This window comes from Homo sapiens, chromosome 22 (assembly GCF_000001405.40).
Source record: "Homo sapiens chromosome 22, GRCh38.p14 Primary Assembly".
In the NCBI taxonomy this organism is placed as follows: domain Eukaryota; kingdom Metazoa; phylum Chordata; class Mammalia; order Primates; family Hominidae; genus Homo; species Homo sapiens.
The window spans coordinates 24,846,397-24,860,607 of record NC_000022.11 but is presented as its reverse complement, the minus strand read 5'-3'; the positions used below and the strand labels follow the sequence as shown (position 1 = coordinate 24,860,607).

Sequence of the window (14,211 nt, the reverse complement as noted above, 5' to 3'; positions counted from 1 at the left end):
TTGGGGAGAAGGGGATGGGTTCATGGCCACGAGGGCAGGGCGATGGGTACCTGAGTTCTGTCTATCTTTAGGTTAAAAATTCTTCATTGTAGAAAGTTTTTTTAGGAAAGCAATAAAATGTAAAATAAGATTCGATGTGGACTTGGAGCAGGAAAAACCACTGCTTCTCCTCCCCACCAGCAGCCAAGCCTCCTCAAGCTAAAATATTTGAACCAGCCACACCTCTGCACCATGGCTTTCTTTGTTCCTCCTAAAGTCTTCCCTAATTGGGCTGGAACCCAGGCATTGCAGCAGGAAATCCCCTGTCCCAGCATTTCTTTCAAGTGTGACTCGAAAGCCTTTGCTGGGTCTTATAAATCACAAGATTTCATGGCAGATGCAGCCCTGGACCAGATGCTCGCTAACACCTCCTGCCTTCCCTTTTTATTGAATGATGGGAGAGGGAAGACAGAGACTGAAGAATATTTGCCATTTGCAGGCTTAGGAGATCTCTATAAAGATGTCTCCCTCTGGATGGTTTTGTCCAGGGCATTGCCAACTTCCATGCCCTAAGACTCTTCCAGTTGGTTTCCAGGTCCTCTCAAGCCTTTGAGTTTCCTGGGAGGCCACAGCTGCGGGGAGGCTGAGCCAAGTGGTCCTAACAACCAGGCAGAGGAGGGGGCAGAAGCAGGGGCGGGATACAAACCTCCCCTCCCCCGGGGAGGAACTTCCTTGTGCCAAGGCGAGTGGAGGGACCCAAGGGATACGTATCAGACCCAGTGCCCTACCTCTTCTCATAGTCCAGGTCCCCCACAGACCCGTTCATCAGCTGGTTGGGTGTCCACTTCAAGGTCATGACGTCAGCCGTCTGGTGCAGGGACAGGTACCCTGGCACAGCCTCCATGTCGTCCCTCTGCAGAGAGAGGAGGACTCAGGTCTGGCCATGGTGCTGGAGTTGCTGTGGACATAGGTCCTGGCCCGTTTGATTTAAGAACACATAATCAGAACTAAGAGGTTGGGTTAATCCCTTCAAGGCCCTGGCCATGTGGAAGACTCTAAAGCCTCCTTCCAGATGGCCATGCTAAGCAAAGCCATTTGCAGCCAGCCTCCCAAATGGGTTCTACATCGTCCAGCTGTGAAAGCCTCCCACCCCCATCACTTTCACACTCTGACTTCCTCCTGAGCTCCAGGGTCCCTGACCCCAGGTTCCTTCAGAGCCAGGAAGGAGGCTCTGCCCCACTGAAAATCACGCTTTTCAAAACAGAAGGCATTTATCTTGGCTAGGCTTAAGGGAGAAAGAGATGGCAGTTGAGCTCTAGGGCCCTTCCTAGAGACAATACTCAGAGACCTCCTCCCAAAAACCCCCCCTACACTCCCCGCCCAGTAGCCGGTCCCTTTTCTCCCCTAGATTTACCTACAGGAATTCTCACCGGCTTTGTTTTATTCCAGGTGGGTGTGTGGGGAGGGTGATGTCACCACCCCTCCATCAAATTCACCCTAACATTTACTGAGCACCAAGTGTGTCCCAATCACGGCTCAGCCTTCACACGCACTGTCTTGATTTAACCACACGCACCTATAACCCCAAGGGAGGAGCAGTGCAGTATTTCATTGATCCAAAGACACACATCTTGATTGTTCACGTTTTCATGTACCTGAAATGGGTGCAGGTCTTCTAATCACAACTGTGACGTGGCTGCCCTGCCTGGTCTCGCACAGACTCAGCCACAGCTGTTCAAAGCGTCATCACTTCAATTAAGTTTTGGGCATGGTTGTTATTTCACATGTGAAATGTAGGTGCTATTTTACATGTCTTCAAAAAGATTTGACTGCGATTCAACTTTGAATTGGAAACCTGCTGTGCCCATAGGAAGGCTGGGAACAGAGCGGTAGAGTGCCTGTGAGATGCTGGCAAGGCAGGCACGTAATTCATCCCTGCAGGGAAGCCCACAAGTCCAGATTGTCTTTCTTCTTTTTTTTTTTTTTTTTTTTTGAGATGGAGTCTCGCTCTGTTGCCAAGGCTGGAGGACAGCGGCGCGATCTCGGCTCACTGCAACGTCTGCTTCCCGGATTTAGGTGATTCTTCTGCCTCAACTTCCCGAGTAGTGGGGATTACAGGCACCTGCCACCATGCCTAGCTAATTTTTGTATTTTTTTTTAGTAAAGATAAGGTTTTAGTAGAGATAGGGTTTCGCCATGTTGGCCAGGCTAGTCTCAAACTCCTGATCTCAGGTAATCCACCCGCCTTGGCCTCCCAAAGTTCTAGGATTACAGGCATGAGCCACCGTGCCTGGCCAAGATTTTCTTGCAAAGCAACCAAATACTTTACAGGACTTAAGAACCATCACAGGCTGGGCGCAGTGGCTCACGCCTACAATCCCAGAGGTTTGGGAGGCTGAGGTGGAAGAATTACCTGAGCCCAGGAGTTTTAGATCAGCCTGGGCAACATAGCGAGACCCCATGTCAACAAAAAATAATTTAAAAATTAGCCAGGCATGGTGGTACACACCTGTAGTCCTAGCTACTCAGGAAGCTGAGGTGGGAGGATTGCTTGAGCCCAGGAGTTTGAGGCTGCAGTGAGCCATGATCACACCACTGCACTCCAGCCTGGTGACAGTGAGACCTTGTCTCCAAAAAAACAAAAAACAAAAAACATCCCCGAGATGAGAGTGGACATTCTTGCAAGAAATGCTGCACTTCCTGTGCTCCTGGATCAGGGACCACCAAACATTTTGTGTAAAGGGACAAATAGGAAATATTGTTTGGTTCTGTAAGCTATACAAGCTCAGCTGCAACCACTCAACTCTGCCAGCAAGGCCTGAAAGCAGTCATAGGCTGTAGCTGTGTCCCAATAAAACTTTATTTGCAAAAACAAGTAGAGGCACAGATGATTGTTAACTCCTTCTCTTGATGGAACAGAAAACAATGTGTGGAAAAATGAGGGCACTGATGACTCTAAGTCAAAAAGTGATACGGAAGATGGAACTCTGAACTGGAAGAAGTTTGAAGAATATCTTAATTAATGTATTTCAATGATATTTTCCCTGTGTGTTACTTATAAAAGTGATATAGATTAAAAAACAAAACAAAACTACATCCACGTAAGTTTCAAAGACCTCTTTCAAAAAGCATAAGCTAAAATTTCTAAGTAGCAAATAAAACAAAACAAAACAAAACAAAAACACTGTATATAATCTAAATAGCTTTTTTTTTTTTTTTTTGAGACAGAGTCTCGCTCTGTTGCCTAGGCTGGAGTGCAGTGGTGCGAGCTTGGCTTACTGCAGCCTCCACCTCCTGGGTTCAAGCAGTTCTGCCTCAGCCTCCCGAGTAGTTGGGACTACAGGCACATGCCACCATGCCTGGCTATTTTTTTTTTTTTTTGTATTTTTAGTAGAGATAGGGTTTCACCATATTGGCCAGGCTGGTCTTGGACTCTTGACTTTGTGATCCTCCTGCCTCAGCTTCCCAAAGTGCTGGGATTACAGGCATGAGCCACCACACTTGGTCCTCTAAATAACATTTTTAAATTTGTTTAGATTACGTTAAGAAATGGTGTATCTTAGCTGGGTGCAGTGGCTCACGCCTGTAATCCCAGCACTTTGGGAGGCCAAAGCGGGCAGATCACAAGGTCAGGAGATTGATACCATCCTGGCTAACATGGTGAAATCCCATCTCTACTAAAAATACAAAAAATTAGCTGGGCGTGGTGGCGGGCATCTGTAGTCCCAGTTACTTGGGAGGCTGAGGCAGGAGAATGGTGTGAACCTGGGAGGTGGAGCTTGCAGTGAGCTGAAATCGCACCCCTGCATGCCAGCCTGGGCAATAGAGCGAGACTCTGTCTCAGAAAAAAAAAAAAAAAAGAAAAGAAACTGTATATCTTAAATTAATGGCTTCTTAGATTTGCGGCAATAGGGTTTTGTACCCATTGTGATGCAGATACGGAGGCTCAGAGGGAAAAGTGACTGGCTCAAAGTCAGTCAGTGATTAAAACTGTGATTGCAGAGATGGAGTGGCTGATGGTTTTCCCTTTGCTTCCTCCCGCTGAGGCCAAACACCACAATGACCATGCAACCAAATGGCCCTGGTGAGGGGACAGCGAAAGGAGACACTGCATGAAGGCAGGAACTGCATATGCCTCACCTACCACCCATCCCTGCAGCCTAGCCATGTGATGGGGCAGAGAAGGTGACTGAGTGATGGCACTGACTATGGCACCAGCTGGCCTGAATTCAAATCATAACTGTCTTGGCGCCTTCACCTGTACAGCCCTCAGTATTACCATCTGATAATACTGAGGCCCGCAATAACAGTACCTGCCTCAAAGGGTCGTTGGGAGGTTTAAGAGTTAATACAGTTGAAAACATTTTGCACAGTGCCTGACACATAGGAAGCATCAAGAAATATTGGCCATGAGAATGAAGATCTTGCTACCATATGCACCTAGCACATAGCAGGTCCATGGAAATGTTTGCTGAATCAATGAAGTGAGAACAAGAGCGAACAGATGGATAGAAGCCTGGGTATGCAGGTGAGTGAAGAGATGGACAGGAAAATAAATGGACAAATGGATGGATGGATAGATGGAGGGATGGATGGATGGATGGATGGATGGATAGATGTAAAGATGGGTGGATGGGTGAATGTAAAGATGGGTGGATGGGTGAATGTAAAGATGGTTGGATAGATGGATGTAAAGATGGGTGGATGGATGGATGGTTGTGACAATGGGTGGATGGATGGATATAACAATGGGTGGATGGATGGATGTAAGGATGGGTGCGTGTAAATATAGATGGATGGATGAATGAGTGTTGGGCGGGTGGATGTGTGCATGGGTGAGTGCATAAATGGATGAATGGATTGGCAATCTGGAGCCAGAGAGACCTTTTCCTCTATAACCTGGAGTGAGACCCTCAGTGCAAGATCTAGGCCCAAGATAACCTCTCACCGGCTGAACAAGAACGTTGTTTTTGCCATAGAGAAGGGTGGCACGGGAGTTCTGATGCAGGGACTCCACGTAGTCGCGGGCAGAGAGGGATGGCCGGTCATCCATGCTGCCACTGGAATGCCTCTTCTGGATCTGGTAGAGAGTGACGGGAGACAGAGGGATGAGGCCTGGGGTGATTTTCAGGGCTCCTACCCTGCTTCCTGCCCTCATGTAAGGTCCCTCCCACTGCCCCACTGTCCACCCCACTCACACAGAGGGCAGGACGCTTGGTGGGCGAGTCCTGCCGCACGTGGGAGCTGTGGATGCGGTGCCTCTGGACAAGTTCGTCAGCCGAGGGATCGGTCCAGAAGTGATCTGCAGTCTTCATCTTGGTGTACTCTAGGGCACAGGGCCCCACTGAGGGGCATGTGGGGGCTGGAAACCCACTGCCCCGGAAAGTCCTCCCGCATGTCTACCAGCAGATGGCCGCCCATCTCACTACCCTCCCCTCCAGCCAGCTAGAACAGTGCTGCATTTCCATGGGCAAGGCTGGACAGGGGTGAGAGAGTCCTGGAGAAGGTGCCCCTCAGACTCAAGACCACGGGTCTAGATGAAGCTCAGCACACAGGACAACTTACCCAACAAAGATGCAAGGATGGGGCCGTCCACAGGGTCCATCAGGAGAGCTTCCTTCTCATAGTATTTACTAGCAAGAGGAGAGAATATGCAGGTTTGGATGGAGACCAGCAGAGGACGCACAATCCACAGATGAGAGTTCAATCCCCAGTGTCACTCGGTTACCACCCAGAGCCTCAGCTGCCCCATCTGTAAAATGGGGATAATAATAATATAGCTCATAGGGCTGAAAAAAGGATTTCTTTTTTTTAAGATAAGGTCTTTCTCTGTCACACAGGCTGGAGTGCAGTGGTACAATCAAAGCGCACTGTAACCTCGAACTCCTGGGCTCAAGTGATCCTTCCACTTCAGCCTCCTAATTAGCTGGGGCTAGAGGCATGCGCCACCACTGGCTAATTTTCAAATTTTAAATTTTTGGTAGATATAGGGTCTCATTATGTTGCCCAGGCTGGTCTTGAATTCCTGGCCTCAAGTGATCCCACCACCTTGGCCTCCAAAGCACTGGGATTACAGGCATAAGCCACCTGTAAGCCCAGCCTGCTGGAAGGACTTTTGAGAGAACCAAAAATTAAAGGTATTTAGCGGGGTGCTCAGCATGTACCTCCTTAACACATGGTCATGATAGAGCCTTTATAATAGTAACAAGAATAATAATTAGCAGGTTGTGGAGGCCTGGCTGACTCTATCTGCCTCTACCACATCTCCCATTTGAGACAGGAAGTGACTTAGAGGCTCAGATGATGTCTGCCCTTCTATTACTGGGGCAACCAAATGCTGTTTAGCAGCAGTGCGTACTGAAAGGCTGTGTAACAGGCTTTCCTGCCTTGATAACTAATATTGAGAGCACTGGCCTCAAATATGCTCAAAAATGCCCCCTGGGATCTGGCTCTGAAAAATAGCAAGTGATGCCATCTGACATGGTTTGGCTGTGTCCTCACCCAAATCCCAACTTGAATTGTATCTCCCAGAATTCCCACATATTGTGGGAGGGACCCAGGGGGAGGTAATTGAATCATGGGGGCTGGTATTTCCCATGCTATTCTTGTGATAGTGACTAAGTCTCACGAGATATGATGGGTTTATCAGGGGTTTCTGCTTTTGCATCTTCCTCATTTTTCTCTTGCCGCCGCCATGTAAGAAGTGCCTTTTGGCCAGGCGCAGTGGCTCACACCTGTAATCCTAGCACTTTGGGAGGCCAAGGTGGGCGGATCATGAGGTCAGGAGATCGAGACCATCCTGGCTAACACGGTGAAACCCCATACCTACTAAAAATACAAAAAAAAAAAAAAAAAAAAATTCACCAGGCGTGGTGGTGCCTGTAGTCCCAGCTACTCGGGAGGCTGAGGCAGGAGAATGGCGTGAACCTGGGAGGCGGAGCTTGCAGTGAGCCAAGATGGCGCCACTGCACTACAGCCCAGGCAACAGAGCAAGACTCCATCTCAAAAAAAAAAAGAAGTGCCTTTTGCCTCCTGCCATGATTCTGAGGCCTTCCCAGCCATGTGGAACTGTAAGTCCAATTAAACGTCTTTTTGTTCCCAGTTTTGGGTATATCTTTATCAGCAGCATGAAAACGAACTAATACACCATCAACACAATGTTTGTGCTGAATGTTTTTGGATTTGTTTGTTTGAGTTATTGTGTAGTGGTTTCTAATTTCTTGAAAACTCATACAGTCTAGAAACAATTTCAGGATTGAAAAGAACCTTGTTCTGACCTCCCAAGGGATCTCAGGCCCACAGAGGGTAAGCGATTTATTTGCTGGAGGCCACAGAGCAGGCAGATACAGGCTTGGGCTGAGCCCACATGGCTCAGCTCTTGCCAACATACAGAAGGAAGTAAAGGACACAGGATCTGGAGTGAGACAGAGTGGGTGGGAGCCCAGCTCTGCCTCTCCCTGCCTTGCTGTGTGTCACTGGGCAAGTGACACCCCTCTCTGAGCTTTGGTCCTCAGCTGTAAAATGGGAGGAAGTATAGAACTCAAATGCCTGGATTGTTGGAAGGATTAAATGACAACTTGCTTACATAGCACAGCACAGAGCCCAACATCAGGAAATTCTCACAAAATGGTGGCAACATCATCGTAATCTTACCCCCCAAGAGTCTTCCATCAACTGGAATATCGTATGAGCCAGAATTGACATGCTCTGGACTTATTCAATATCAAGGCTGTACATTTTGGTGTCAAATCTGAAGATAATACATCAAAACACTTTTCACTTTGCCATCACCCAGTTTCTAAAAATCAGCAGAATTATACGATCAAAAACTTTGAACATGCTGCCTTAAAAATCAGCAAGTAGGGGTCTCAAAATAAATAAAAAACGACCAGGCACAGTGGCTCATGCTTGTAATCCCAGCACTTTGGGAGGCCAAGGTGGGAGCATCACCTGAGGCCAGGAGTTCGAGACCAGTCTGCCCAATATGGTGAAACCCTGTTTCTACTAAAAATACTAAATTAGCCAGGAGTGGTGGTGCATGCCTGTAAAACCAGCTACTTGGGAGGCTGAGGCATGAGAATCGCTTGAACACGGGACGCAGAGGTTGCAGTGAGTCAAGATTACACCATTCTACTCCAACCTGGGCAACAGAGTGAGACTCCATCTCAAAAATAAAAATAAATTTAAAAATTAGCAGGTAGAGTTGGAACCGAGGTGTGACTGTAAGAAGTAGCTGAAGGGAGTTTCTTTGGGGTGATGAGGTTTATTTCGGAATAATTCTGTATCCTGATGGTGATGTGGGTTATATGAAACTACACATGCGTTAAAAGTTTCATAGAACTGTATAAAAAAATTCAGTAAATATAAAAATTGATGAAATCCAAAAAAGTTTTGCAGTTAGTTAATAGTATTGTACCAATGTCAATTTCCTGGTTTTGATCACTGCACTATGGGTATGTAAAATGTTATCATTGGGGTTAGGCAATTAGTAATCTCTGTACTAATTTTGCAACTTCTATGTAAATGTAAATTAAAAATAAAAAGTTGAAATGGAAAAAAAGCAGGTTGACATTGCTTCTCAAATAAATTACTAATTCCCTTTGACCAACTTAATCAGCAGGTCATATGCTCAAGGTCATATGCCAAAGGCAATAATTAAAGAGGCCCAGAAACCTTCATGGGGCAGGAGGCAGAGACATGTTATTACTAGAAGGTAAATAGGGAACTGGAGATCCAGAGCTTGGATTTCTTGCAGTTTCTTTCCTGTCTCTAGGCCTCTGCACCTGCTATTCCCTCCACCAGAAACACTTTGTTCCCCATCCCATCACCTGGCTAATGCCTCCATGCTCTTCAAATGGAAGCTTAACCGTTGCGCCATCCAGGACACTTTCCCTGACCACTGGGAGAAAATTATCAACGCCACCACGCCCCCTTGGAACATCCATCAGGTATTATCAGCATGACTGTTGGCTGGTTTTCCTTACAAGCACGTGAACTTCATGAGAAGGGGGACTTTTCTCTCCACTTTCATGCATATTTTCCTTGCAAAGGGGCAAAGAATGATAATAAAAACATCCACTGTGTGAAGATGTGGTTAAGCCAGCACTTTCATATTCTGAAAGATGGAGAGATTCTGAGATATTTCTCTCTCTCTCTCTCTCTCTCTCTCTCTCTCTCTCCCCCCACCCCCCCCTCCCTTCCTGCCACCTCTTGGGGGCTGGAGAGGCATGCTGGCCACAAGGAGTGTCAGATGATAAATTCTTCCATGGCTCCTCACTGCTCTTGCGATGATATACAAGCTCTGTGACATGAAAGGTATCACCACTATATCCCTGACGTCTAGGTTAATGCCAGTACACAGCAGGTCCTCATTTAAATATTTGCTGGATGAATGAATGCATGGATGAATGGTTACCCAAGAGGGCTCACACTATAAAACTTTCACATCAGATTAATCTAAACTAGTGGAGAAAACGTTAAAAAGGCTCACCATGCATTTTCTTTTTTTCTTTTTTTTTTTTTTTTTTTGAGATGGAGTCTTGCTCTGTTGCCCAGACTGGAGTGCAGTGGCGCAATCTCAGCTCACTGCAAGCTCTACCTCCCGGGTTCACACCATTCTCCTGCCTCAGCCTCCTGAGTAGCTGGAGCTACAGACACCTGCCACCACGCCCGGCTAATTTTGTTTTTGTATTTTTAGTAGAGACGGGGTTTCACCGCATTAGTCAGGATGGTCTTGATCTCCTGACCTCGTGATCCACCTGCCTCGGCCTCCCAAAGTGCTGGGATTACAGGCGTGAGCCATTGCGCCCAGCCTCACCATGCATTTGCAAAATGCTGCATATTCACCAAATTCCCTTCTCACTTCTCTGGAGTATCGGGAATCCCCATGCCATTTACCAAAAGAGATAACGGGCACAGAGAGGCTAAGCGATTCTCTAGGGCCACACAGTTATTGAATGGAGTAATCCACAGGAGAAGGAAGAAACCCAGGATCCCTATACTCCACCCTAAATCCGAAGACCTTGCACTGCCATTAAGCTCTTGAATCTACCCAAGTTTCCAAGCATTTAATCACTTTCAAATTTAGTGGCTGTCAAGGGGAAAAAGAAAGCAGCTTTGTGCCAGGGGGTGCAATTTCCACAACGGCCGGCAGGTGGGGGCAGAGCATGGCCAGGTGTCAGGTCTTTCCCTCTCACCTGCTGTTTTCCACAAGGTAATGCACAATTTTGTCCAGGACCTTCTCAAACAAGGCTGTGCGAATCCACAGATGCTTGATGGCAAGTGGGGACAAGTTGGGCAGCTTCGGCAGCTTCCGCACATTCTCCTGGAGGCCTTGAATCTGGTTTCTCCTTCAAGACCAATAAAAGACGGGAATAGATACTCACAAGAGCAAATCTACACAGGACTAATTGGCAAATGGGAGAATGTTCAATCTCTCAGGAAAATGAAGGAATGGCAGCTAAACAAGAAGAGCCCATATTGCCGCTAGCAAGCTGGTCAGGAGTTGAAAAAATAGTAATACCCAGTGAGTGTGCAGATGTGGTTAAACAAGACACTTTCCTAGGGCAAGCCAGATTCTCATACTGATACCCCCCACCTCTCTCTCCTGGAAAGGAGGGTGGGCCAAGAAGAGTCTTGGAGTATAGATCCTTCATTGGGTCCCCAGTGCCCTTGGGAAGCAAGCTCTTCAACAAGACCAGCAGAGAGCTCCAAGACCTTGTCCCACTCACCTCTCCAGCAATCTCCTTACCACTAACGCTTATGACTCCATGATCCAGCCAGACAGAGATACGTGCAGATGCCTGAGGCCACCAGAGTCTCATCTGAAGCCTTTCCCTGGGCTGCCGCTTCTTCCGGGTTCCCTCCCCACCCATTCCCAGGCTGATCCCTCTCACTCTGTAAGTCTCAGCGAGGGCATTGCCTCCTGCCTACAGGAAGCCCTCCTGGACCAACCAAAGCTGGTCTGTACTCTGTCAGCCTCTGGAGCTGAGCTCCCTGCTCACTTTTCTGTCGTCCCCTCCATGCTTTGATCTTGAGGATATGAAATCGGCAACTCATTTTTTTTGTTGTTGTTTTGAGACGGAGTTTCACTCTTGTTGCCCAGGCTGGAGTGCAATGGCACAATTCGGCTCACCACAACCTCTGCCTCCTGGGTTCAAGCGATTCTCCTGCCTCAGCCTCCCAAGTAGCTGGGATTACAGGCATGCACCACCACGCCCAGCTAATTTTGTATTTTTAGTAGAGACAGGGTTTCTCCATGTTGGTCAGGCTGGTCTTGAACTCCTGACCTCAGGTGATCTGCCCACCTTGGCCTCCCAAAGTGCTGGGACTACAGGCATGAGCCACCGCACCTGGCCGCAACTCATTTTTTTTTTTTTTTTAATAAAATACTTACTGAGAGTCTACCATGTGGCAAGCATTGGCCCTCTTCATTTCTGTATCTCCAGGGCCCAGCACACTGGCTGACGTATAGAGGAAGCTTAGTAAATGTTTATGAATGAGTGATTGCATATATGAATAAATGCTTCTCCCTTACCACTTGCACAGGCATCTCTAACTCCTCCACTAGGAGGTCACTCCCAGTGTTGTGGAAGGCCCATGACAAATCTAATCCTTTAAGAAGTTATCTGCAAACACCTGGGAACTTAGCAGATGGACTGGAAGGTATTCAAAGAACAGTTGGCTGAGAAGTCATTCCAAATGGGAGTTGACAGAGTCAAATCCTGAGCTCTGACCACCATACCGTTCTGGCCAGCAGCCCTGGGCAGGCAGGGCCTGAAATGCAAGGAAAGGGCCATTCTCATCCAGTGAAGTGGAGTGACCATCCACAGCAGAGACTGCAAACATAGGACATGCTTGTGTCTTCCCTGCCTTTGCCCTTGACAGACATGACCAATCAATCCATGTGCTTTTCCCCAGAACGCCCAATCACAGCTTCAGAATCACAGCACATTCCTCTGGGAAGCCACCAGCACCGAATTTGTTGCCAGGAGTTGAAACCAAATTGTCATTCCCTGACCAGGCTGTAGACTGGGGGTTTGGCTGTGCAGACAGGACCTCCCAGGGAGTGGCTCTGGCTGAAGGTGCTCACATGCACACATTCTGTCCATGAGCCTCCCCCAACACATACCACCAGTCACCAAGATGAGGGAGGGAAGCCACCTCCCCCATTCAAAGGTTACTTCAGTATGAGAGTTTTTTTTTTAACTTCTAGTCAGTGTATTTGAATGTGTTATAATATGCCTATTGATATGAGGCCCTCGTGTCTGGTCCATGCAGACAGAGGCCATATTGGTTCTATCAAACTTTGGTTGCCTTGCATTTAGAACAGGCCGTGGGTCCTAGCAGGCACTCACTCAACAATTGTTTCTTGGGCATCTACCAGGTGCTAGACACTGGCCCGGATGCTTGAGACATAATGGGAGAAAACAGATCTAGTTGCCTGCTCTCATGAAGTTCTGCATCAAGTGAGATAGACAGACAACAAACAAACAAACCTGACATGAATAACTATAGATGGCCAACCAACAACAACGGGGAGGGAAATAAACAGGGTGATATGGAAGAGAAGATGGAGTGAGAGTTGGAATTTTCTGAGATAACGATAGGTCTGAATGATGACAAGAAAGCAGCTATGGACGATCAGATGGGTGAGTCTGGTGGAGGGTGAGGCACGTGCAAAGACCCTGGGGTGGGAAAGAGTCTGGTGGGTTTGAGAAGCAGGATGGAGACTGAAAAGAGTGCTAGGGGTTGCAGGCTCTCTCAGGACCCAGGGAGGACTGTGGACTATTGGGGGAGCTGCTCCCACCTGTGCCCCATGCTTTGCACTCACGCGCTCTCGATCAGCTGCTCCAGGTCTTGCACCTTGCGGCTCAGATCCTCAGCCGGCGGGAAGTTCTTGCCCACTTTCATAAAGAGGGCTGCAATCTTATTGCTGCGTAGGAAGCCAGCCGCCCGCCGCCGAAGCCCGTGCAGAACGCAGGCCTCCACAGCCGCTGCAGGGACATGGCAGTCAGCAGACCCTGCCCTGCCCATGCACTCCAGCACCCAGCATGTCCCAGAGCTTCTGTCAGACACTGGAACCTTGGAGAGCCCTCTCAATCTTCTTACCTTCTGTCTTACCCCAGAGACAGGGAGCTCACACTTGTATAGGTGCATAATCAATGTTTATTGAAAAAGTGACTATATAAGAAGTACTCCTTATTAGGCATCTGCTGGGTGTCGGATAATTGTTAAGACTTACCTTTCCTAATTCTTGTGACAAAACTCATGAAGTAAGAGCTCTAAAGAGCAAACCAGTGCTCTCAGGGGGCATAGCTTGACCAAGGTTATGCTACGTGCAAGGAGAAATATTGAGAAGTTTTGGTCTCATCACCATGGTTTTTTGTTTGTTTTTGTTTTGTTTTGTTTTTTTGAGTTAGAAAACACTTTGTTTTGAATGAATGATCAAATATTGCCTAATCTCGGGCCAGGCGCAGTGGCTCACGTCTGTAATCCCAGCACTTTGGGAGGCCAAGGCGGGCAGATCTGGGACATGCTGGGTGCTGGAGAGCGAGGTCAGGAGATCGAGACCATCCTGGCTAACACAGTGAAACCCCGCCTCTACTAAAAATATAAGAAATTAGCCAGGTGTGGGGGCGGCCGCCTGTAGTCCCAGCTACTCAGGAGGCTGAGGCAGGAGAATGGCATGAACCTGGGAGGTGGAGCTTGCAGTGAGCTGAGATCGCGCCACTGCACTCCAGCCTGGGCGACAGAGCGAGACTCCGTCTCAAAAAAAAAAAACCCCAAAAAACAAACAAACAAAAAAACAAATATTGCCTAATCTGCCCATAGATTTAAAATATTTGAGGAGATGATCTCTTAGATATCTTAATTTTAACTTACATATGCAGTACTTTTCATTTGCTTATGGCGATGTAAGTGAACTGACTATTCAGGCTTTGTAGACATAGTTTAATCCTTCCTGACAACAGCTTATAAGAAACAATGGACAAAAGAAACCTTGAGGAGATTCTTTAGGCTTCATTTAGTGCCATCAAATTTCTCCCACCCAAATACTTTTGAGTAGAGCTACTGAATTATTATACTATTTTTATTACTTTTATTCCTCTAAGTTAATTGGTAGGTAGGCTAGCAAGTCTTAAGATGGACATGCATATAATTTTATTTGGAAATAAAAATATTCAGGAACACATAAAAAACTGGGAATACATATATATGTATATATACACA

General features: G+C 47.4%; 1 protein-coding gene across 4 annotated transcripts in view; it reads right to left on the bottom strand.

Moving 5' to 3' along the window:
* SGSM1 (small G protein signaling modulator 1) overlaps positions 1 to 14,211 on the bottom strand; it is a 121,368-nt gene that overhangs the window by 66,971 nt on the left and 40,186 nt on the right. For all 4 annotated transcript variants that reach the window (NM_001039948.4, NM_133454.4, NM_001098497.3 and 1 more), the window contains exons 4-9: positions 12,812 to 12,974; positions 10,176 to 10,328; positions 5,545 to 5,612; positions 5,178 to 5,323; positions 4,928 to 5,059; positions 768 to 892 (exon numbers count right to left, since the gene is read on the bottom strand). In NM_001039948.4, the coding sequence (NP_001035037.1) occupies positions 768 to 892; positions 4,928 to 5,059; positions 5,178 to 5,323; positions 5,545 to 5,612; positions 10,176 to 10,328; positions 12,812 to 12,974 (787 nt within the window). The remainder of the gene's footprint in view (positions 1 to 767; positions 893 to 4,927; positions 5,060 to 5,177; positions 5,324 to 5,544; positions 5,613 to 10,175; positions 10,329 to 12,811; positions 12,975 to 14,211) is intronic.